This window comes from Homo sapiens, chromosome 9 (assembly GCF_000001405.40).
Source record: "Homo sapiens chromosome 9, GRCh38.p14 Primary Assembly".
Taxonomy (NCBI): Eukaryota; Metazoa; Chordata; class Mammalia; order Primates; family Hominidae; genus Homo; species Homo sapiens.
In genome coordinates, this window is record NC_000009.12 from 121,032,577 (window position 1) to 121,059,073 (window position 26,497).

The window sequence follows — 26,497 nt, forward strand, 5'->3', positions numbered from 1 at the left end:
ATATAATACAAGACAAGCTTATACAGATGATAAAATTTACACCTCACAAAAATGAATTTATGGTTGGAAACAAAGCATGGTTTTTAAAAGATGAAAATGACCTGGCTTTAATTAATAACCTTTATTCAAAAACATATACTAGGCCAGGTATAGTGGCTCATGCCTATAATCCCAGCACTTTGGGAGGCCAAGGCAGGAGGATCGCTTGAGCCCAGGAGTTCGAGACCAGCCCAGGCAACATGATGAAACCCCATCTCTACAAAAAAATACAAAAATTAGTCTGGTGTGGTGGTGCATGCTTGTAGTCCCAGCTACTTAGGAGGCTGAGGTGGGAGAATTGCTTGAGCCCGCGAGATCAAGGCTGTGGTGAGCTGAGATCACACCACTGCACTCCAGCCTGGGTGACAGAGTGAGACTCTGTTTCAAAAAAACTATGGGTGTGTGTGTGTGTGTGTGTGTGTGTATGTATGTATATATGTGTGTATACACACATATATATACACACACACACACATATATATACTGAGCCTACCTTGCAGATTGGCTATGAAGTCCACAAATGTTAATAGTATTATAATAATGATTATTACCATCATCATCAATTCAATGAATATTTATCAAGGGCCTATTATGTTGAACTGCTGGTGTGCAATACAGACAAGGCCCACCTTAAAGAGTTTATAAGCTAGTGGGGAATAAAAATGCCAGCAAGCAAGTAAAGAAATGATTATGACATTGAGATAAGTGTCATGAAGAAAATAAACAAGATGCTGAGATAGGGAGTAAAACAAAGCAAGAGATTACATTACATCATGCATCCAGGAATAGCCTTTTTGTAGTAGCTTCTACTCTGGGTCATAACAATGAAAAGAAGCCAGGCTTATGAAGAGCCAGGTGAAGCCCATTCCAAGTAGAGGGGATGACATGTGCAAAGGCACGGAGGTAGGAAAGCACTGGACATGCCAGACCATGGCTAGCACATAATTTGCCATGGGGCAAGTGGCACAAGATGAAGTTGGAGAAATGATAGCAGTAATAAAATAATAGGTTTAATTCTGCACTATGGAACATGTAGTATTTTCAAGAATGTACACAATTTTTAAATTATCCAAGTTATTTAAAACCTCCAAATTCAATTTAAATTTTTAGAAAAATTTCAGTCAGCGAATTAACTGAGGGCAGAGGAAAAATGACCATAAAAAGATGTTGTTCTAAAATTCTAGTGCAGCCATGTATAGATGCACTTGTCTTATTCATTCTGCTCTATTATAAATTTCTTTCTTTCTTTTCTTCCCTCCTTCCTTCCTCCCTCCCCTCCCTCTTTCTTTCCTTCCTTCCTTCCTTCCTTCTTCTTTCTATCTTAGTTGGAGTTTTGCTCCTGTTGCCCAACATGGAGTGCAGTGGCATGATCTTGGCTCACTTTAACCCTCACCTCCCAGATTCAAGCGATTCTCCTGCCTCAGCCTCCCGAGTAGCTGGGATTACAGGTGCCTGCCACCACGCCTGGCTTTTTTTGTATTTTTGATAGAGACGGGGTTTCACCATGTTGGCCAGGCTGGTCTCAAATTCCTGACCTCAGGTGATCCACCGACATTGGCCTCCCAAAGCGTTGGGATTACAGGCATGAGCCACCGCACCTGGCCTATTACAAATTTCTTGAAAGCAGGGACTGTGGATTATTTATTTTGTATCTCTCCCTCTTATTGTGATTTGCACATACCAAGAATGTGTTCATTGAATATTTATTACATTGAACCCTGTTTAAACTTTTTCTTAAATCCTTTCATGTGAGGCCAAATAATAGATATAGCTCTGAGAACTCCTTCCCTCTTGGACTTTGCCTTCTGGTAGTTTATCCAGGCAAAAACTACAGACGACCCTATTTTATAGCAACCAGAGCAAGGAACAAGACCACACCAGCCTTTTAAACTGACAATCTATTAGATACTTTGAGGGGTAGGAGTTGATGTTTTTTATGACAAAAAAACCTGGGTACTATTTTTTCCTCTTCCCAATTTTTATTTCTATATGTAAAAAGAATGGCTGAGAAGTATTGGAAATTTTTTGCCAAGAACAGAGCTTAAGTTCTTGCTAGAACTTCAAAAGATTTTGCATATCCACCTATGTGACACCCTTTGTTAACATTAGGTGGCCCCCTTTAACTGGTTACCTGCTTCTTCACCAAAAGTTCCGTATGTGGTTTTATTAACAACTATTTTTACATACCTAGGATTAGACGGAATCTTGAAGTCAGGAAAAGAGATAATTCCAATATGATCAATTTCTTCTACCATGTCAACTTCTGATCCTTCAGGATCCTGTAAATAAAAACAAACACCCTCAAAGGCCAGAAACTACATTTTAAAAAATTTAACTGATTATACAATCTTTGATGTACAAAATATTTATAGATCAAATATTTGAAGACAAATACCCATGTCTTCAAATTAAATATGAAGGATGAAGATCTGTTAAATGTTATAGAAGGGAAATATGGTTCATTTCAGCCATTTCCCTTCTTCTTTTTCCAATCTTCCCCATCTCTCCTCATTATCTTGAAGAGACTCAACTCTCGTTGTACATCTAAAAGATGAAGTGTAACAACACGTAAAAACAACAACAAACAAACAAACAAACAAACAATGATGTTTTTGATAAACTAAATGTGAATTTTGTTGGCTTTATAAACACCAGAATCTAATTTTTATATATGTTCATTTAAAGCTTTCAAAAGCAAATATTCTATGAATTATATTTTTTAGCCAGATGTTTTATAAATGTATAGTATGGGCATTTTTCAGCTTGGTAAAACTCTCAAATGGTTAAACAAACTTGACAGTTCTCGTAAAGCTTCCCCATAAACTTAATTTTGTGTTTGGGTTAGCAAATAATTGAAATGAGGTTTTGACTTTCTTTGGACTACACATGGGGGTCCAATTCAGCCTTAACTCAACACATAAACATAGCAGGCAACATAAGTGAGGCCCCTATCTGTACAAAAAACTTTTTTGAGACAGGGATCTTGCTCTGTGATCCAGGCTGGAGTGCAGTGGTGTGATCATAGCTCACTGCAGCTTTGAACTCACAGGCTCAAGCAATCCTCCCACCTCAGCCTCCCAAGTAGCCAGGACCACAGGCACATGCCACCATGCCCAGCTATTTTTTTTTTTTTAATTTTTAGTAGAGATGAGGTCTCTCCAGGTTGCCCAGGCTGGTCTCAATCTCCTGAGCTCAAGCAATCCTCCCATTTTAGCCTCCCAAAGTGCTGGGATTACAATTACAGGCATGAGTCACTGACCAGCCTACAAAAAAATGTTTAAAGAGTTAGCAGGGTGTGGTGATGGGTGCCTGTAGTCCTAGCTACTCAGGAAGCTGAGGTGGGAGGATGGCTTGAGCCCAGGAGTTTGAGGCTACAGTGAGCTATGATCACACCACTGCACTCCAGCCTTGGTGACAGAGCAAGACCCTGTCAAAAACATACAAACAAAAACAAACAAACCAACAAAAAACCCAAAGCAAAAAATCTTAGCACCATTTACCATGACTGAAATTCACAGTTGGATTTTAGAGGTTTTATTTCGTAATTAATTGTAAAACTTACAGAAGCCTATTTTGAACAAGAATTATACTTGTAGCTGAGTATTTTTATGGCTCTTCTTCATCGCACTATCCATTGTGCACAATTCTTCTAAGATCATCTTTCTCAGGTACTATTTTGAGGATACTTCCTCTATATTAACTCCTTAAGGCTCTGGGATCAGCTTTCTCAATCTTTTCTTCCTGGGGCAGCTCTTACAAGAGATGACTGACATTCATTTTTCTGCAGGTTATGCCATGATTCTGCATCACTTAAGTTCAACCATGAAGACGTTGGATAAAGAGCATACATCCACACCCCTATCATTCCCTGATAGAAAAAGGGCATTTGAGCTGACATTGCTCTCCTTAGTTCTCTTTCAGACATTCTATCAGTCAATCAGTTTATTTACTAGCTTCATTTTTTTTTATTTCTTCTTGCCCCCATAGCTTAACTCACACTGTTTCTTACATGGATGGTCTTCACTATTTTTAAATAATTTATGTCAATTCCTTTCATTAACACCCAACTCAGGGTTCCCTTTAACTACTCCGTTCCAGAGAAGGATGTGTATCACCCCCACTCTCACCTCTCATTGGTCTTCCCTCTGAGCTCATGGTATTTGTCCTACTGTATAATTTATTTGTTTTATATTTTAGTATGGTTTTGTTCTGTAGTATCTATGCTTTTGCACCTGCATTCTGATAAGTTTTTATTTTTATTTTTTGGTTTTTTTTTTGAGTAGCAGCAAAAGTGCTGCAGCCTATATTGAAGGACCATTAGTAGTATACCTACTGTTAATAACTGAGCAGTTATAACTAGTTGTATTATTTTATTTCCTCACAAAAGTGTTTGGGGTATGTGACACAAATTAGATGAGATCATGGGAGTTCAATGCACAGCGTCTGTTACATATGTCATGTCTGATAAATGGTGAATTACTGCCAATCTTTAACTCATGATTTAGCAAGATTTTTTGTGTTAGTATAATAGTTATTAAACTCTAAGTTCCTTAAGAGTAAGTACCATTAAATATAGTTCTTTTGCACATAATAAATACATAATAGATATATCCATTATGTATATCTTATAGTTAAATGGGTATTCAGTCAATTCTTAGTGATTGGTGGGTGGTTTTTTGTTTTTTGGTTTTTTTTTTTTTTTTAGATTTTCTTTTTTGAGATGGAGTCTCACACTGTCACCAGGCTGGAGTGCAGTGGCACAATCTCGGCTCACTGCAAGCTCTGCCTCCCGGGTTCAAGCAATTCCCCCACCTCAGCCTCCCGAGTAGCTGGGACTACAGGCGCCTGCCACTGCACCAGCTAATTTTTTGTATTTTAGTAGAGATGAGGTTTCACTATGTTGGCCAGGTTAGTCTCGATCTCCTGACCTCGTGATCCACCTGCCTCGGCCTCCCAAAGTGCTGGGATTACAGGTGTGAGCCACCACGCCCGGCCAGTGGGTGTTCTTTAAAAAATAAATCAGCAAGATTGTACTTAAATGGTTTAGCTCAAAATCCTTCAAGTTATTGAAATTTAATTTGTATGAGCCTTTCACATACGTGTATTACAGAGGTATAGATCTATGATTCTATACTCATTGCAGATGTTCAATAACCATTTATGGAACATTGAATGATTTAGTGTAGTGTGAGGACAGGGTTATGAAATGAGATTCTTGTCCTGAAAAATGAATTAAAGTATTATTTAAATAAATAAAATACTTACTATGAAAGTTAAGACAGTTTCTCTTTTGGCTGGCTTCAAGTCGTCATTCAACGAATAAACTCTAACTTTTACTGTAAGAATAATTGATATAATCAAAAACTCTGCTAAAAACAAGGATATTTTGATTTTTTAAAACAACCATCCTTAAAAGAGATGAATCTTACTTTAAAAAACTCAATACACAAAAGTCCATATTTGAAAAAAACAAAAATTAGTTTGCAGACATATACATTACTAAAGATTCTCTTATTTAAGAGAATCCTCAGGGATTCCTTTAAAGAACTATTTCTCTTAGTGGATTTAAAGTACAGTTCACTTTCTTAAAATACATTTACCTACAATGTTTTGAGAAAACATTCACAGTATGAAATTAATTACATCTGTAATTAGGCCATTATTTATTAAGAATTTCATAGTAGCAAAATAGTGACATCACCATATGGTTATAGAGGAGCATAATATATTGTCTCAGAGTTGAAGATCTTAATGGAAAATTGGGAGCTTGATTCAGACATACACTCTTCCACTTATGAAAACCCACAAGGCTCCAAATTAGCTCTTATTGCAAAAGGCAGCTTTGGATTATATGGTTTTGTTCTATTTATTGAGCCAGATCCTACACTTGTTCGCTCATTGTTAAAAGAGCAATGGCAGGGGCTCAATAACTGTTAGTTCTCTTCCATTTCTTTCTGTCAGTTAATAGATCCCTACTTTTTAAACAAAAGCATCTGTTTCGCTTTTAACTCACAGCTGTTTGAGACACAGTGATCTAATTCTTTCCAATGACAAACTTAATTTCTCTAGGGTGTTGCTGATGCTCAAATCATTTCATGGCCAAAACTTTACCCACAAAATAAAATAGAACTGGCACCATAAACCCAGTATCTTTTAAAAGATCAGTATTATGCAAAGCTCTATATAAGAAGCCACATTAACACTGGTTTTACTAAGTTCACAAGATAAAAACAATGTGCTCAGTAAATGCCCCACCTCTCTGCTCTCTCCTTCCCCTCACACCTGTCTCCCACCACAAATCCTATCTCCTGCTTTTTGGGACACACCCAGTCTAGGCCTGAGTATCACTGGGAAGCTGCCCAAGTCAGAAAGTCACAAAAGTTAAGAGCACAGGCCCTGGAATTAAACACTTTGGTTTCACTCCTGCCTCTGCCACTTTTTAGTATGACCCTGAGCAGGATACTTAATCCCTCTAAACCTTAGTTAACTCACTTGTAAAACAGGAATACTAGTGTGTGCTCATAGTGTCCTTGTGAGAATTAAATAATGCAAAGCTTTTGCATAGCCTGACACATACTAAGTAATCAATAAATGTTTATTTTATTATTATTTCTGTTACTACTATTTGGCTAGTTTTTAACCCAGTTTGTGTTTAGGTTAGAAAATTAATCTTGTCTTCACAGCGATGGTACATTGGAGGCAAGATCTATACAATTTTTTGTATAAAAGATATGGCTTATTGGCCGGGTGCAGTGGCTTACACCTGGAATCCCAGCACTTTGGGAGGCCGAGGTAAGTGGATCACTTGAGGCCAAGAGTTCAAGCCCAGCCTGGCCAACATGGTGAAATCCCATCTCTACTAAATATACAAAATTAGCCAGGCATGGTGGCACGCGCCTGAATCCCACTTACTTGGGATGCTGAGGCTGGAGAATCGCTTGAACCTGGGAGGCGGAGATTGCAATGAGACAAGATTGCACCACTGCCCTCCAGCCTGGGTGACAGAGCGAGACACTCACTAAATAAAAATAAAAATAAAAGATGTGGTTTATTAATTTAAAAAAAGTTTGAATGCCAGGCTGGAGTGCAGTGGCGCAATCTCGGTTCACTGCAAACTCCACCTCCTGGGTTCATGCCATTCTCCTGCCTCAGCCTCCCGAGTAGCTGGGACTACAGGCACCCACCACCATGCCTGGCTAATTTTTTGTATTAGCTCACATCCCGTGTGAGCCAGGATGGTCTCGATCTCCTGACCTTGTGATCCGCCTGCCTCGGCCTCCCAAAGTGCTGGGATTACAGGCATGAGCCACCGCGCCCGGCCTTGAATGCCTTCTAATGTGCCAGTCATTATGCTACGTACTGAGATACAGTAGTGAAACAAATCAGACATGGACATCTTTTAATGGTGTGGAGGAAAGAGGCAAACACAATTATATGTAAAATTCTAGGGTGTGAAGTGCCACAAAGGATATTTGCCTGGCCTTATGAGCATGTAGAAGAGGGAGATTTGAAGAGGTCAGGGAAATCAGCGAAAGCTGCCTTTAGAAGGATCTGTGATGACACGTGAGGGTGAAGTAGGAGTTAACAAGGCAAAGGAGGGGCAAGAATGTACCATGTAGAGGCAACAGCATGTTACACAGGCCTTAATATGGATGGGGAAACGGTGTGAGAAAGCATCTGAAAGGAGGTCAGTTTGGCTTGTGTCTATAGAGGGTGGGGCCGTAGTAGGTGATGAAGCTGGGGAAGAAGGCAGGACACAGGCTTTATGAAATTGAAGGATTTTGGGCAATATTCTAAAGTCATTTATCCAGTAAAGCCTTGAAGCCTTTATCCTAAAGATGCTTACACTAAAAATCCCTCAAGAATCTTCAGATTAAATGTGTTGATCGGGACATTATAGCTATAAATAACAAGACGATTAAAAAATACTTTTAAGTAATTATTTTTCTTTTCTGTAAATATGGCTTTGTGCTATTCCATAGATAATAATGGAAAACACTTTCCTAGTGCTTACTGTGTGCTTGGCTCTATCTTAAGTGCTTTACACATACTAATTCAGTTAATTCTCACAACTCTATGAGGTAAGTTGTATTATTATCTCTATTTTACAAGTGAGGAAAGTGGGAGTCTGAGAGGCTGAGTGATTCACACAGGGTCATACAGCTCACAGCAGCTCAAGCTGTGACTTGAACCCAGACAATCTGACTCCAGAGTCTGCTTTTAACCAATTTACTTCACTATCTTGCAGAAATGGGCCAATATTTATAGCAAACTTCTCTCATTTTACTCTACGATTAGAATGGATGAGGATATTACATCGTCTTCTTTTTTTTTCTCTTTTTTTTTTTTTTTTGAGACAGTCTTGCTCTGTTGCCCAGGCTGGAGTGCAGTGGCGCGATCTCACTGCAACCTCTGCCTGCCATGTTCAAGCAATTCTCATGCCTCAGCCTCCCGAGTAGCTGGAATTACAGGCGTGCACCACCACATCCAGCTAATTTTTGTATTTTTAGTGGAAACAGGGTTTCACCATGTTGGTCAGGCTGGTCTCAAACTCCTGACCTCAAGTGATCCACCCGCCTGGGCTTCCCAAAGTACTGGGATTACAGGCATGAGCCACTGTGCCTGGCCAGGTATTACATCATCTTACAGTAAAGTCCTGATAGAGAAATAATACATGAAGCCTTTTTTTTTTTTTTTTTTTTTTGCTGAGACGAAGTCTCACTCTTTCGCCCAGGCTGGAGTGCAGTGGCTTGATCTCAGCTCACTGCAACCTCTGCCACCTGGGTTCAAGCGATTCTCCTGCCTCAGCCTCCAGAGTAGCTGGGATTACAGGCGCCTGCCACAGTGCCTGGCTAATTTTTGTAGTTTTAGTAGAGACAGGGTTTCACCATCTTGGCCAGGCTGGTCTTAAACTCCTGACCTTGTGATCCCCCCACCTCGGACTCCCAAAATGCTGGGATTACAGGCATGAGACATGAAGCCATTCTTAAGGAAAGCCTTGATAACCGAGGAAGGTCCCAGCCTCTGGATATTACACTGCTTACTGGACAAAGACTGATGACCCTTAGTTGTGGGACGTGTCAACAGGATCCAAGCAAAAAAGAATCCTTCAATGTAGGAGGAGGACAAGAGAGATGATATGCTTGTTTCTAGGTATGATTATGTCTAAAAGGACCCAACCTTTGTGGGCAGAGACTATTTCCTTGTATAAAAAGTTGTCTCTTGGAGAAAAAAGATGCTATTATTCTGGAGATTTTATTCTGGCCAAGTAGATAGCAATATCTCCACCCCCTTTAGGCTTTTCCTTTCTGAGCTGATCATAACAAATGCTCCTGCTGAAACGGTAATGGTTCAGTCCAGTTCCACCCCACTATTCTCATCATCAACATCAACCAACATTTAGCAAATATCTACTGTGTACAAAGTTTTTCAACAAAGTCAGATGGTCCCCACTTCCTTTCTCTGTCCTCCTCCAAGAATATCATTAATGAAATTCCATAGCCTCTCCTTCCCATATATACATCTCTAATATTCTATTTCTGATGTACTTAAAAGTCATTGATGACGAGAGGGAGAAACGGGGGAATGGAAGGCTTTGCAAACACATGAATATATTGGGAAGCATTCATACTTTTCTGTGTTTTACTTTTGGTTCATTGGGAATAGGTCCAGTCATTCCTATTCACATGATTTTGATTGGCTATTCTGCCCTTTTGCCTCTAACAGAAGAACCATGAATGTTAAACAATGTTCTAACAGTAACTTTCTTAGGTAGATCCCCTTTGAAAATTAATATCCATATATTTCTGTGATCTAGTTTATCCTCTGCTGAAATATCTGATCCCCTAGGTTAGATTTATTTTTCCAGTTTGGGGATTAGCTCCAGACCCAGTGGAATTTTTAATGAACATGGTTCTACAATAAATTATATTTTCCCATTGCCAAATTATATTTGCAATTAAGTCTTATATTTGTTTAATAAATTGTAACATATTGGAAAACAAATTTTTCTTGTTTTCCAAACTTTTACAATAATTTCGCATAGCTAATTCTACAGCAGTTGGTTTTTGTAACAACATAACATTTTACATTTTTACATAACATTCAACATTTTACAATTTTGAAAAAGCATTTTCTACTTGGAAATAAGTGATGGGGCAGGTAATGTAATTGTTGGTTTTGTAATTTATTTAGCACTTTCTCCATAAATTTAAAATTAAAATGCTATTAAATATTTGTAAGTATAGATGTCTTTGGGAATTGAGAGTCTTTTGAGCAAATTAAAAAGAAACCGATCTCCACTCAATTTCAGGTATTAAAAAGCTCTACAATATAGTGTCAATACTGTCAAATCCCCCACCCAGAGGAAGAAATATCTTATAATCTACCTGACTGGTCTGGAGTATAAACAGGTTTGTCTGTATGAATGAAGAGAAATCCATTGTCATAGGTTATTGGCATTCTTTTTGATTTTGAAAAATGCTTTGATACAACTTCCAAATACACATAAGAAACTGGGTTTTGTCCTCCAGGCAATTGTTTTGGTTGTATCTGGAAAAGAAATTGTTGATGGAAAAAGTATAATAATTCTAAAGTTATTAAACCATTAACTTTCTAAATACAACTGTAATCTCATTAGAACAATCAGTATGTATATGTAATCATTTAAAAAGTGATACAGGAGCAAGAAGAGTAAATAAATTTTGCCCGAAGCCCTTCAGTGTCTAATTACATAATAAAAATTTAGCTTTAAGCAATTGAAAGTCTCTTTGGTTCCATGTTTCCTAAATTTTATATACATTTAGTGAAACTACTACTATAAAAGCCTTTAAGAAACCTTCACTCAATTAGTTTGCTGGGTTACCCCATGCTCCCCATTCCCTTTGTGAAACCTCCTGACCGATTCTCTGGACCCTTAGCTTTTTTTTTTTGAGACGGAGTCTCACTTACTCTGTTGCCCAGGCTGGAAAGCAGTGGTGCCATCTCAGCTCACGACAACCTCTGCCTCCCAGATTCAAGTGATTCTCCTGCCTCAGCCTCCCAAGTAGCTGAGATTACAGGTGTGCGCCACCATGTCCAGCTAACTTTTTTTTTTTTTTTTTTTTGTATTTTTAATAGAGACGGGTTTCACCATGTTGGCCAGGCTGGTCCTGAACTCCTGGCCTCAAGTGATCCACCTGCCTCGGCTTCCCAAAGTGCTGGGATTACAGGCATCAGTCACCGTGCCCATGTGTCCAGCATCTCTGGACCCTTAGTATTACCTCACATATTTCTGCTCCCCTGAGTTGAGATGCTCATTTTCCAATTTATGTTTGTAATTATCCCCTTTACATTCAATGATATGTAAATTTAATGCATGAAAAGTGATAAAAAAGAAAAGTGTATCTATGAAAAATTAGGCTTTGGAAACACGGGATGAAAGTTAATTACAAAAACCAACTGCTGTAGAATTAGCTATGCGAAATTATTGTAAAAGTTTGGAAAACAAGAAAAATCTATAAATATTCTGCACCCAGATTGCTTTGTAAGTGCCTTTAAGTTCTTTCTCCCCTTTTAAGAAACAGAAACTATAGAACAGGCTGGGCACAGTAACCTATGCCTGTAATCCCAGCACTTTGGGAGGCCGAGGCGGGCGGATCACCTGAGGTCAGGAGTTCGAGACCATCCTGGCCAACATGGTGAAACACCTTCTTTATTAAAAATGCAAAAATTAGCCAGGTGTGGTGGTGCACGCCTGTTAATCCCAGCTACTTGAGAGGCTGAGGTGGGAGAATTGCTTGAACCTGGGAGGCGAAGGCTGCAGTGAGCCGATATTACACCACTGTCTTCCAGCCTGGGTGACAGAGCGAGACCCTGTCTCAACAACAACAACAACAACAACAAAAAAGAAACTATAGAACAAAGATGATCCATTAAATTTGTAGCACGTAATAAATGAGATTTGACACTGCAATCCATAGACCCACACTTAAAAGACCTTGGTACAACATTAAACAATTGGCAAATAAAGATACATGATATTGCTATGATAAAATTAAATGGTTAAAATATGTATTGACTATGATTGCCCCACCTTAATCTAGTTTTTCAGTTAATCATATAGGTCAGCACTGTTCAGAGAACTTTCTGTGATGACAGAAATATTCTATATCTATGCTGTTTACTATGGTAGCCAATAGCTACCTGGGGCTATTTGAACACTTGAAATGTTGCTAGTGCAACTGAGATACTGCATTTTTAATTTCAGTTAAATTTGTTTGATTTAAATTTAAAACTAAGAGCCACAAATACATTGTATCAGATAAAAGAGTGTCTTTTGAAAGTAACACTTTCTTTTTTTTTTTTTTTTTTTGAGATGGAGTCTCACTCTGTTGCCTAGGCTGGAGTGCAGTGGCGCGATCTTGGCTCACTGCAACCTCCGCCTTCTGGGTTCAAGCGATTCTCCTGCCTCAGTCTCCCGAGTAGCTGGGATTACAGGCATATGCCATAAAAGTAACACTTTTAATAAATGAATTTTAATTGTTAACAAACCTAATAAGTGGAAGAATTTGTTAAGAGATATGAGCATTTACTGCTAAGAACATTAAAGAATTCCTATGTTTGACTAGAAATTTTTTAGATTAGTGTTTCTTAAACTTGAGTAATATGCATAGTCCTTTTAAAGGACAAAAGTCATGGAGGACCCTCAGCATTGGCTTTTTATTATTTATAACATAATCAAAATAATTTTTGATACAAAGATACTTAAATATATACAAACTTAAAACGGTACAATCTTATGCTTATGATTTTTGTATAATTAAAAACTCAAAACAAATTTATAAAATAAATTCAAAATGTTACAAAATCAATATAATTCGAATTTTAAGCTCTTTATTAAATTTCCATTTTTAATTTCTTTATAAAGAACTCACTTTAGAGAAACTCTGGTCTAAATGAACTGCAGAGCCCATTTTACGTCTGATATTCTTTGATTTTCTTTATTAAGTATCAGAATTTTTAGTAAAAATAAGTTGCAAGTATGTCTCTAAGCAATCTATACTACAATATCTTAATAGGAGAGTTATTTGATCAAGGTTGTTCTTTCTATTAACTGCAGGTTGTCAATGAGAGCTATTCACTTTAGTAATCACAAATTTTTTAGTTTTTGAAACTATAATTGTAGAATATTAGAGTTCAATCGAATGTTCAATAATATCCATGGATTTTTGTGGGCAATGTACTACAGATAAAATCATACTCATATTTCTCAATTTCTTTCTAATAGTAATTTTCATAGCAAACAAGTATTTTCAATTATCTCCAAATATTTTCACATTAGTACAATTTTATTTTCCAATAAGAATGTGAAAATGGACATGCATTGCTCAAAAAGCAGACATAACTTCTGTTTAGAATTTTCTGTTTCTGTTAGAATTTTCACTTACATTATCATTAGTGACTGACATCATCTAATAATCCCACAGTGGATGTAAATGATTAAATCTATATGTTATCAATATTCAAACTTTGTACACATTTTTATTGAGAATATTCTGTATATATATATAAAGAAAATAAAGGATAAATACATACTGTTAAGATTGCAGAGTTTTGGAATTTATTCTCTGAGGATAAATGAACATGGCCTGAGGAGTAACTAAATTTTTTATCAGGATAACTTTTAATAGAGATTGTTGCATCAAATGCTTCAGTGTATCCATAAACTTGAATCACAATATTTTCAGATGCTCCAACACGGAATATTTTTGGTGCTGAAATGACATATCTGTTGAAAAAGGAAAAGATAAGGCTCAATGTCTTTATATGACATATTTTCTTTTACTTTTGATTTTTTTCTCTCACTTGAGAGATTCCATTTAAAATACATATATTTCCTCACTTAAAAATGATACTAATAAGTCAAAATGTACTTGTGACCCACCATAACTTCAGCATAATTTCCAAGTAGTTTGGAATTAAGACCTGAGAAGCTGGAGGTTTAGTTTACATTTAGAAAGTTAAGGTGATAGCAGCACTTTCTCTTAGCTACTGCAGCCAAGGAAGACTTTTAATCATGTTGACCAGAACATGTAAATGGGGTCAATATTTTTTGCTCAATGAAGAAAAAAGCAGTGATTGAATTCCAGCTGTGGCATCTGCTGGCTGAGTGACCGTGGTAAAGTCACTAAGTCTTTCTGAGGCTAAAATAACTTACTGTGAAAATAATCGCCTTCTTTACCAGGCTCTGGTAAAGATTAAATAAGAACATATATATGAAAAGGTCTAGCACTCTTAGTACTCAATACATGTTAAGATTTATTAATCTCACTAAATTAGTTTAAAGGGAGTGATCTTAGAAATACTATGTTATACTAGTAAACGGATAACGGAAAGGATAGAATATGAGTGAGCTGGGAAGTGCATTTGGAAATGGAAATAGTGATGATGGTCCTTTAAGAGCAAATCATCATCTTCAAACAATAATGGTAATTAAGTACTTGCCACATATCAGAGGCTGTATCAGCACTTTACATACAGCTCTTGTTAATTTTTACAATAAGCCAATGATGCTGGTACTATCATTATTCGTACTTTGCAAGTGGTAAAAGGCTAACTTGGCTAAGGTTATACGGTTTGTAAGTAAATGGGGGAGGCCTTTATATGAGTTCTCAGTTGTTATGTGTACAGTTGAGGTCAAGTTTATATGTTATTCACAACCATAGACTGTTCTCTTATTTTTACTTTTCATGTGATTTATACAATAATGGAAGTGAGTCTATACATGCTTTTGAGTGATTTTTAAAAATTATTTTATTTAAAAACTTACAAATATAAACTGGATTACTAAGTGTATATCACAAGAGTATCTAATTTGAATAGCGAGAACTACATACGCTATTACATAGGAAAAAAAAGTGTTTTAACCCAAAAGGGCATAGTGATCGACTAATTCAAGTGGCCCAACAAGCTTGGAGGGCACCCACCACCCCACCTGGCAGAATTATTCCAGGCTTCTGCCAACATTGTGACATTTTAAGAGTCTGGTAAAAGCAGGAAGTTTTTAGTAACAATGGAATTAATTTATCAGCAATTAAATCCTTTAAAGCATCTGACAGTTATCCTGCATTACAATTAATTTGGATCCACTTACAGGCAAATTACAAAAGAGAGGAAAGAATTTCCAGATTTCCAACCATCATCTGAATTCCCCTTCCCCACATGCCTAGTAGGAGATGGCAGAAAATGAGAGGAGTTCAGTTTTTATGATAATAAGATATATTTACTGAAATTTTGCCCTGTGATAAGGCACTATTCTGAATACTTTATTTGTATAAACTCATTGTGTCATTACAACCACTCTGTGAGGAACTATTACTCCAATTTTAAGGTGAAGAAACTGCTAATTAATTTTCCCAAGGCCACACATATAGGATTTATGAATTCTATAATTCACAAATTATAGAATTAGAAATCGAACCTGAGCAGCCCGTTTCCAGAATTAACATTTTCAACTGTTGTACTAAATGGAATTTATAAAGAGTTTTGTAATTAGAAAAATTTAGGGATATAAAGCTACTTTAATTTCAGTATTTATAGAAGCTTTATGTTTTTAAGTTTAGTATTGCTTTAATTTTGAATTGTGTATGGTAGGGGTCCCCAACCCCTGGGCCATGGACAAATACCAGTCCATGGCTTGTTAGGAACCAGGCTACACAGCAGGAGGTGAGCAGTGGGGCAAAGGAGCATTACCACCTGAGCTCTGCCTCCTGTCAGATCAGTGGTGGCATTAGATTCTCCTAGGAGCATGAACTCTATTGTGAACCGCACATGCGAGGGATCTAGATTGCAAGCTCCTTATGAGAATATAATGCCTGATGATCTGAAGTGGAACAGTTTCATTCTGAAACCATCCCCACCCCAATCCTGGTCCATGGAAACATTGTCTTCCACAAAACCTGTCCCTAGTGCCAAAATGGTTGGGGACTGCTGGTCTATGTGATGGTAGCCGTCAAGCAAAAATACATAGTGTTTAGAAGCCCCTAAAAGAATATTCTGGAACCACCCTTTATAAAGATTTTGGTTCTTATTGACTTATCAGTAGCATAATCTATCCATATAAATAATTTCATAGTTTTCTTTGTCTTTCAATTGCTGCAGAGGAGCAGGAGCTTGCAGAGAGGCAAGAATGTTATTTTGGCCTCTATCTGGAATGCTCTTTCCTCAAATATTTGCATGGTTTGCTTCCTCACTTCCTTCAGGCTCTGTTTGAGTGCAGCCTCCTTAAGAGAACCTTTCCTGGCCACATTTTAAAATAGTGCCCCATAATTATTTTTTAATTCTCATACTCTGCTTTATTTTTTTCTTCATAATACTACCTACCTGACCTTACACATTCTTTCATTGGTTCATTCATTCATTACTTGCTTCTCCCACTAGAATGCAAGCTCTAGGAATTGTCTTACCGTTTGCTATATCTGCAGTGCCTATCATATGTTTAGATGCTCAATAAATATTTGTTGAATCAATCAATCAACCAATTAATTAAAGTGATTGATTGCCATGTTGTAAATGGTACACTCTGACTTCTTCAGAGAAAGTGAGGAAATAATTTTTATTAAGGGCTAGTAGAAAGAATTCAGAATAAGTCTGGACAAGAATCATGGAACCCAGGTCCTAGCCCTAGTTCTGCCACCAATTTGAAGTCACTTAATTTCAGTCTCTCTAAGCCTTAGCTGCTCGTCTTTCAAAAAGAATAAAGGCAGGATGCTAAGGTAGTTGAGTGCTTGTGGCCATGTAAAAAGATCACAGATCAGAAATACGAGGGTGCTAAAAAAGAATGACATCCTAAGTATGTGTTTATATATAATATATTTACATGTATACATTTATGACAAAATGAAAAAAATTGAAGTGATAAACAGGAGACCTTAATAAAAATCCTGTTTCTCTCTCTCTAGAACTGTGACCTTTGGTCAGTCACTTCCCTTATCTGGACTTATTCTCATATATAAAATGAATAGGTTTGATTAGATGATCTGCAGTTACTTTTCAGTATTAAAATATTTCTAGATATAAGATCATTATTTTTAAAACATTACTTAAAATGCATATTATCTCAATAATGACACTAAAAATTGTGAAAAGTCAGCTCATAAATGTATGGTAGAAGTCACTACAACAACAGATTTTCAGATCACAGTATTAGATTGACTCCTAAATAACCCTGGTTTAACTGTGTATAGTCTATGAAAAACACAAAGAAAACTAAACACCAAGTTAAAATAAGCAAAAAATGTCAAGAAAGTTTATTATCTGGAGTTTCTTTTGTGCTTTTTTGAAGAGGAATTTGAATAATCACTTAACGTAAATTTTAATAAATAACAATTCCATAAAAGCTGTCATGTTGTTAGCTACTCATCAAATCAAAATGCTTCCATGACTTTCTCATTCAGAGATGATACTATTCACTTGCTGTTCTCAGAAGTAGCAAGTTATTTTCAAGTTAACAGAATCTGTTAAATTTAACTCTTCATTCGTCATAACTAAGATGCATTGAAAAATGAAGATAGCTTGTTTTACTTACGTTTGCTCCTGTCCCCAGGTTTTCCCCAGGAAGATTAAAAAACAAAGTATTCCCAAAAGGCCCATGGTTGGAGGTAGCAGGAAACCACGGATATAACACTTTTGAGGATAGTCTCCTTTTAAATAAACTGAACTTGAAGAATTCAGATAATCTGGTTAATTATTAATGTCAGAAAGGTGAACCTCTAAGTGGGAAAACTAGAATTGGAACTAAAACACCCTTTCATGCCCAGGAATACAGATAGGGAGTACTTTACAGGAACTTACACCCAGGGAATTTATTTTTATTAATACAAATAAAGGGACCCTAAAATGGGAATTTGGCACTATGAAGAGTGGCTCAAAGCTAGAAACCAGTAAGCCCATTGCTTTGGCCTTTCTTCTCTTGCCCAGGGCATTTGCTTTGATGTTGCATCATCTGCAAGCATACATCTGGCAGGTCCACTCTAATACTGATGAAGACCCACCTGGACTCAGTTTCACACTGAAATGATTTTAGAAGGGGCCTGGTTTAGACAGGGCTCACAAGATGATCTTTTTTTGGTGACCTGAATGGCAGTGTCCTTGGTGCTGCAAATGGTCTGAGCATAACCTAGCTCTGCAAAGGAGGTCTAGGGAATTGTTCCTTGGTCTGTCTCAGTCTAGAGAACACTAGGTGGAGGAAAGTTGTGACTGGCAATGAAAACGCCATGTGGAGGATGCTGTCGTCATTCTCTAAGTATTGGAGAATAGATATTCTCCAATATTTATTAAGGCATATACCACTCGTTCAAAGTTTGTCTTTATTCAGATATAGAATATCTTTCTTTTAAAGAAAACACATGTTATACTTTTCAGTGAGGATTTTAATAATTTTAATATAAGAGCTCCAGAAAAACAAAGCTTCCTATAACAATTGAGTCTAGTAATTAATTCACAATATACTAAAATTTTATCTTTATACTTTTTTTTTTTTTTTTGGAGACAGAGTCTCTTTCTGTCGCCCAGGCTGGAGTCTAGTGGCACTATCTTGGCTCAGGGCAACCTCTGCCTCCCAGGTTCAAGGCATTCTCCTGCCTCAGCCTCCCAAGTAGCTGGGACTACAGGCATGTCCCATCACATCCAGCTAATTTTTTGTATTTTTAGTAGAGGTAGGGTTTCACCGTGTTGGCCAGGCTGGTCTCGAACTCCTGACCTCAGGTGATCCACCCACCTTGGCCTCCCAAAGTACTGGGATTACAGGCATGAGCCACTGTGCCTGGCTGATTTTTAATTAAGTTAATTTTTATGATGTTTTATGTTCATTAGAATTTTTTTATTTACTACCTTCTCTTTTTTAGTACTATTTTTACCTTAATATATAATATGTACTCTTCTTTAAAATAATAAAACAGATGTCTCTAAACATATTTCTATAATGAGATATTTATGATATATAAATGAGATATTTATGGTCACATTGGCATTCTTTGCTTTGAATTAATAAATAATAAACCAAAAATATTTATAAACACTTTAATGCTGAATTCACTAGGGAAAAAAGGAGCACAAAGGGAAATTTGATATACAAATTTCACTAAAGGTATCTCTTGCATATGTCATTGAAATGACAAACATTTGCCACTATTGTCTGATCATCTAGCCCATTTATTTCAAAAGGGAATCTGTGAAATGATTAAGCTGGGTTGCAAAAGATGGGTCAAGTTAAAACAAACAGTACTTTTGCCATCATTTTTGGGAAATGAAATTTAAGAGAGAACAACAACACTCAAATCAAGGTAGGTAATATTTGTATTTTAAGTGCAAATAAGTTTGTTTGCTTGAGCTATAGAGTAAATACTGATAACCAATATTTGCAAGCCATTGTCCTGTTTCTCTGGTAGAAAACATTTAGAGAATGATGGATCTCAAAGATTCTCAACAGAACTGAAGTTTAACAATTTATAGATTCTAAGCTGTGTTTAGTCAAAATTTTTTATCTACCTTCTAAATGTGGCTCACAGATGAACTTTTGAGGCTGGGCACGCTGGCTCACACCTGTAATCCCAGATCTTTGGGAGGCCGAGGTGGGTGGATCACCTGAGGTCAAGAGTTCAAGACCAGCCTGGCCAACATGGCGAAAACCCGCCTCTACTAAAAATACAAAAATTAGCCAGGCGTGGTGGCGGGTGCCTGTAATCCCAGCTACTTGGGAGGCTGAGGCAGGAGATTCACTTGAACCTGGGAGGTGGAGGTTGAGCACAGATCACGCCACCGCACTCCAGCCTGAGCAACAGAGCCAGACTCCATCTCAGAAAAAAAAAAAAAAAAAAAAGATGATTTTTTTTCTTTATAATTTAAAATGTGACCTTTGGTAAGCCTTTCATTTTTATACAAATACTGCATTTCTAAAAGAGAAGAAACTCAGATCTGGCAGAAAGTTTGGTGGTCACCTGACCTTCCTGCTAATGCTGCCTCAATTGTCCCCTCATGATTGAGCCCAAATGACCTAGCCTAGTGCACCAGGCCCCTCTTGAGCCCTGCTTAGTTCTCCAGCCTCAACATTCCATTCTTCACTCCGGCCAAGGAGCTGAATTACCTGATTATTCCCTGAAGTCACCTTGACACCAAGGTGCTCCTAGCAGGATAATAATTTTGTATCTTTCAAATGGATATTCTTTAGTTATTTTGTACTTACTTGGTAAAATATGTCTGGACACCAATTTTCTATTAATACAAACTACAGAACTCTTTTTTATGTATAATAAAAAGATTTTATCATGTATAATTTTCAAAATCAGACAGCTTACAGGGAGGTATATTAATGGGTTGTAAATTTAGAGAATAAAAAATAAGTGACATTGTGTTTGTTATTGTTTTCAGAAATTCAGCCCATCAGATTGCGAACTTCAAGTGCCTGCTGGCTGGCTAGAGTAAGAGAGGTGATGTGACCCATAGCTGCCCCAGGTAATTTTCATGTGCCTGTTCCATGTCCAGAGGCCAGTGGAGAAACAGAGGCGTCTCCTCAGAATTAAATTATTCTAAATGGAGACACGGGAATCATACAAGTTTTGTTCAAGAGTGGTAGGCTGGCACTAGGCAGGTGGGTTATTCTAAGTAAAACCCAGTATTTGTCCCTCTGACTGCTTTTTGGCTCAAGCCCGCAGTCTCACGTTTTAATCCTTTAGGAGAAAGGCTCTACTAAAAGGCCAACTGAAATCCAAAAAGAACTACTTCAGTAACTCTCCATGGGATATAGAGGAGAAAGGCACTGGAGGCTTCGGTGCCAGCAGTTTAAAGACTGACTGGAGAGAGGGCGGAGGTGGAGCAAGATGGCTGAATAGAACCCCCCCCGAGATAGTTCTCCACACAGGAACACCAAATAGAACAACTATCCACGCAAGACAGCACCTTCATAAAAGCCATAAAATCAGGTGAGTGATCACAGTGCCTACTTTTACCGTAATGATAAGGAAAGAGGCATTGAAGATAGGGTGGGGGTAGGGGGGAAGATCTCCCTGTATTGCCTATACCACCCCTCCTCCAACCACAGGCTGCACAGCAGGAAAGAGAATCCGTGTGCTTGGAGGAGAGAGAGCAAAGTGAGTGTGGGACTTTGCACTGGAAGTCAGTGCTGCCCCGTCATGGTGGAACATAACACAGGACAGAATTCTGCAGGCGCCTAGAATTCTGACAGTGCATTTAGGCAGGCCTTGGGACAGAGGAGAATTCTGTGCTCCAGAGGGAGAAACCCAGGTCATGGCTAGCTTCACCACTGGCTAACTAAAGTGGTCTGAGGTCCTGAGTCTATTTGAGTGGCAGTCAGGACACAAGGACTAAAGTGTGTAGACTAAACATAAAATGCTAAGCACCCCCAACTTGCCCCCTATTGACTGAATGAACTCCCACTTGGCCAAAGAGACCCCAGAAACATCTTAAAAATTGAATTCCTGGCCGTGATGGGAAGGGAGGTTAGACATGCCTTGTTATACCCCCTCCCTTTGGAGTTTAGGCACAACTGACCAGCATTCAAGTTAAAATATCATAAGACGGACAAAACAGACTCTGTGGCAATAAGATACCAAATTATAAACAAGACCTCAGGCCATTCATGCAAGGAATCACACCCTACAAACCATAAAATATCATTAAATGAGTTTTAAAAGTTAACCTGGTATAGTCCGGGCGTGGTGGCTCACTCCTGTAATCCCAGCACTTTGGGAGGCTGAGGCAGGCAGATCACCTGAGGTCAGGAGTTCAAGACCAGTCTGGCCAATATGGTGAAACCTCATCTCTACTAAAAATACAAAAATTAGCTGGGTGTGGTGACAGGTGCCTGTAATCCCAGCTACTCAGGAGGCTGAGGCAGCAGAATTGCTTGAACCTGGGAGGCAGAGGTTGCAGTGAGCCAAGATCGTGCCATTGCACTCCAGCCTGGGCAACGAGAGCAAAACGCTGCCTCAAAATAAATAAATAAATAAAAATAAACCTGCTGTAATATGGTTTGCTTTTCAACCTGACTCTGATATAGCATCACATGACAGATAGCAGACCCTGTAGGGAATAAAAATATTTTACCTCAAAATATATTTATTTGACATATTTTGAAATGGCCCTGCAAAGCTATCTTTTGTGAGTGAGATTTGCATCTGTAGATAATCTCCATTAATGCAACCAGGCCTTCCCTTTCTAGGCTTTTCCCAGTTCTGGCAGAGTTGAACTGAGAGTCTGACATCTCAAAGGTCTGCAAAGAGACAGACGTTTGCCATTGATTCTCTCGGAGGGCTGCTACCTATGAGGATTCATCAACGTAACAAGAACCTTGGACCCCACAACCTCCTTTAACTCAAGCATTACTTACTATTGACTTTAAGCCTTTAGACAATAGCTTAACCCTCTCAACCAATTGTCAACTGAAGAATCCTTAAGACCCACCTATAACTACTAAGTCCCTGCTTGGAGATGTCCTGCTTTTTTGGGCTGAATCAATATATACTTTCCATGTATCGATTTATGTCTTCGCCTGTAACTCTTTTCTCCTGGAAATGTATAAAACCAAACTATAACCTACCTGCTTCAGGCATACTTCCTCAGAACCTCTTAAGACTGTTCCCAAGACCATGATCACTCATATTGGCTCAAAATATTCCACTCTGAAATATTTCACAGATTTTTTTTCCTCTGTTAGCAAGTCCTTGGGCAAGGTCTAGTGCTGTCCTGGTCTTGGAGGCAGTGGACTTAGGGTGCAACACAGTTTAACACTAGCTGTGGCAGCCACAGGAGTATGTATGTCACTCCTTCCCAAACTTCAGGTACTGATGCTTGGGGAGAGATTCCTTCTGCTTGGGGAAAGAAGAGAGAAGAGCACAGAGGACTTTGTCTTGCAACTTGGGTATCAGCTTAGCCACAATACGATAAAACATCAAACAGATTCCCGAAGCCCCCGATTCCAGGCTTTGTTCCTGGATAGTGTTTCTAGGCCCATCCTGGGTCAGAAGGGAATCCACTGCCCGGTTGGTACGGACTTGGTCCTGGCAGGATTCACCATCTGCTGACTAATGTGGCCTTGGGCCTTGAATAAACATTAGCTGCAGGCATAACCAGGCAGTAGTGGCTGCAGGCCTTGGTGAGCCCCAATACAGAGCTGGTCTGGAAGGCCATGGGCTTCAGGTATGACCCAGTGTAATGCCAGCTGTGGCCAGTAGAGTGTCTGCATCACTCCTCCCCCAGCTCCAGTTAGCCAAGCCTGGAGAGAGATGCCTTCTGATTTGGGAAAGAGAGGGAAGAGAGAAAGAGACTTTGCCTGGTAACCCAGGGAATTCTCCCCTATCTTCCCAAGTCTTAGATACACCAAGGCTGTGTACCTAAGAGTCTGTAAGAGTTTCAGTGTTCCTGGGCTTAGGGCACCCCCAAGTGCTGAGATGGCTGCAGTAACCACAGGCTTAGGCCACAAAACTCAATCCCCTTTGAATTCTTGGAAAACCTTCTCAAGGACAGGGACAAACAAGCCTGGACTATAAAGATGGGAATAAATACCTAAATCTTCAAGGCCCAGACATGGACGAATATCCACAATTATCAAGAACATCCAGGAAAACATGGCCTCACTGAATGGACTGAATAAGGCACCATTGACCGATCCTGGAGTGTTGAAGATATATGACTAATCAGACAGGGAATTCAAAATAGCTGCCTTGATGAACTTCAATGAACTTCAAGACAACAGTGAAGAAATTCAGAATTCTATCAGATAAATTTAACAAAGAGATTGAAATTTTTTAAATCAAATGGAAATTCTGGAGCTGGCTAAAATATAGATTACTAAGACAAAGAAGTGTATGGCTACATTTCTTCCCCCAATATTTGTGACTACGTATTATTTTATCAATAAAATATGAAAATTTCTTTTAAAAAATCTTGGAGATAGAAAATTCAATTGATAAACTGAAAAATGCACTGGAGTCTCTCAATAGCAGACTTGATCAAGCAAAATAAAGAATTTGTGAAGACAGGCTATATGAAAATACACAGAGGAGAAAAAGGAAAAAACTAAAAAGAAAAAAGAATGAAGCATGCCTACAAGATCTAGAAAATAGCCTCAAAAGAGCAAATTTAAGAGTTACTAGCCTTAAAGGGGATGTAGAGAGAGAGAGAGAAAAATTGGGATAGAATGTTTATTCAAGGAAATGATAACAGACAACTTTCCAAACCTAGAGAAAGATATGAATATCTAGGTACAAAAAAATCAAAGAATGCCGAGCAGATTCAACCCAAATAAGACTACTTCAAGACATATAATAATAAAACTCTCAATGATCAAGGATAAAGAAAGGATCTTAAAAGCAGCAAGAGAAAAGAAACAAGTAACATAAAGGAGCTCTAATACATCTGGCAACAGATTTCTTAGCAGAAACTTTACAGGCTTGTGGGATGACATAGTCAAAGTGCTGAGGAAAAGAAACATCCAACCTAGAATATTATATCCAGCACAATTATTTTTCAGACATGGAGAAACACTTAGACAAACAAAAGCTGGGGAATATTATCAACATTAGACCTATCTTATAGGAAATGCTAAAGGAAGTTTTTTCAATCTGAAAGAAAAGGCTATTAATGAGCAAGAAGAAATAATCTAAAAGTATAAAACTCGCTGGTAAAAATAATTACACAGAGAAATACAGAATAATGTAACACTGTAATTGCAGTATGTAAACCACTCATATACTTAATAGAATGACTAAATGATAAACCTATCAAAAATAGTAACTACAATTATTTTTTAAGAGACAGACCATGTAAAAAGATACAAATAGATAAAACAAAAAGTCAAAATGCAGGAAAAAGTGTAGATGTTTGTTTGGCTTTCTCTGCTTGTTTTTAAAAACTTTTCTTTCTGATAATAGTTAAGTTGTTATAAGTCTAAAATAATTGTTTATGAGATGTTATTTGCAAGCCTCATGATAACTACAAACCAAAAACCTATAATTGCTACACAAAAAATAAAAAGCAAGGAATTAAAACATACTACTAGAGAAAATCACTTTTACACAAAGGAAGATGGGAAGGAAGAAAGGAAGAGAGGACCAACAAAACAAGCAGAAAACGAGTAACAAAATGTCAATACTAAGTCCTTACTGATTAATAATAACAAGTAAATGAGTGTAAATGGACTAGAATCCTTTTTAGAAGGCACTCTAAACAGTTTTGTCTCTTGTTATGGCATTGATTGCCTTTAGTAGATTCCGTGTAACCTACTTCTTTATCTCATAAGTTGTAGAAGTTCTTTGCTCCAAAATATCCTTCTCAGACTTTAAATCCGGTGTTGTTTGAAGCATTCTTCTCGCTTCTCAGTAATCAGTCTAGCAATTAAGAGGAAATGCCATAAATGTTAATCACGTCTCAATAAGACCTGTAAACTCCACTGCATTTAAACGAGATTTTATGAGACTCAGACATACAGGATGTATTCTCAGCCTTTAAGGAGCTTATCCAAATGGTGACAACACAATAGCTACCCATTATTAGCTTCCAACATTTATCAGTTATTGTGATAATTAACTTGCTAAATTATCTCTTATCTTGACAACCATGCAGAAGGGTGTTATTACCCTCTGGTTACCAATGAGTAAACTAAGGCTCAGAAAAATGTAGTGCTTCAGGGAACACATCTAATAATTTGCAGAAATTTCGATTTGATTGTTTGGGATCCATAGAAAAAAGCCAGGAAAGATACGAAACCATGCTGAAGTCTTACCTTCTCTTTGACACCTTCTCCAGATATATGTGTGTATATATATGTATATATAAAATTTTTTTTTTAGATGGATTCTCACTCTGTCACACAGGCTGGAGTGCAGTAGTGCAATCTCAGTTCACTGCAACCTCTGCCTCCTTGGTTCAAGTGATTCTCATGCCTCAGCCTCCCAAGTAGCTGGGACTACAGGGGTGAGCCACCATGCCTGGCTAATTTTTGTATTTTTAGTAGAGATGGGGTTTCACCATATTGGCCAGGCTGGCCTCCAACTCTGGACCTCAAGTGATCTACCCACCTCGGCTTCCCAAAGTGCTGGGATTACAGGCGTGAGCCACCATGCCCGGCCTTTTTTGTCTGTAACTAATTCTGTATTTTATAAACTCTTAAATAATTTATATCCCAGTCCACACATTTTGATTCTTATTATATACTATTGTGTATTCTAGGCAAAGGTTCAAATGCACAAGGTGGGAATAAATGTGACATAATTGAATACCTAGTCTGGCTTATGTCTGGTTCTCCCTTCCTCAATAGAGCTGGAGCAAGACTGGCTGAAATGACCACCAGGCAGATGGCAGATTGGGAAGACAAACTGAAAAGGTGAGAGGTGGAAAGAGTCAGAGAATAACTGGATAAGCCACATTCTGGGAAATACAGTGGTTCAAATCCACCGTGGATAAA

The 26,497-nt window shown here is 38.0% G+C and overlaps 1 protein-coding gene and 1 long non-coding RNA gene across 4 annotated transcripts in view; one reads left to right on the top strand and one right to left on the bottom strand.

The window, feature by feature from the left end:
- The window catches only part of C5 (complement C5), a 122,531-nt gene that overhangs the window by 80,242 nt on the left and 15,792 nt on the right, over window positions 1-26,497 (bottom strand). For 2 of the 3 annotated variants that reach the window (NM_001735.3, NM_001317164.2), the window contains exons 1-5: window positions 17,606-17,699; window positions 13,615-13,807; window positions 10,428-10,590; window positions 5,305-5,375; window positions 2,227-2,318 (exon numbers count right to left, since the gene is read on the bottom strand). In NM_001735.3, coding sequence (NP_001726.2) covers window positions 2,227-2,318; window positions 5,305-5,375; window positions 10,428-10,590; window positions 13,615-13,807; window positions 17,606-17,670 — 584 coding nt within the window. In that variant the 5' untranslated portion in view covers window positions 17,671-17,699. Of the gene's footprint in view, window positions 1-2,226; window positions 2,319-5,304; window positions 5,376-10,427; window positions 10,591-13,614; window positions 13,808-17,605; window positions 17,700-26,497 lie in introns of those variants that run through there. The other variant, NM_001317163.2, reaches the window with a different exon arrangement.
- LOC124902261 (uncharacterized) lies at window positions 20,281-26,428 on the top strand. Its single transcript, XR_007061753.1, has 3 exons — window positions 20,281-20,529; window positions 20,751-20,996; window positions 26,351-26,428. It is a non-coding gene; the product is annotated as an uncharacterized LOC124902261 (long non-coding RNA).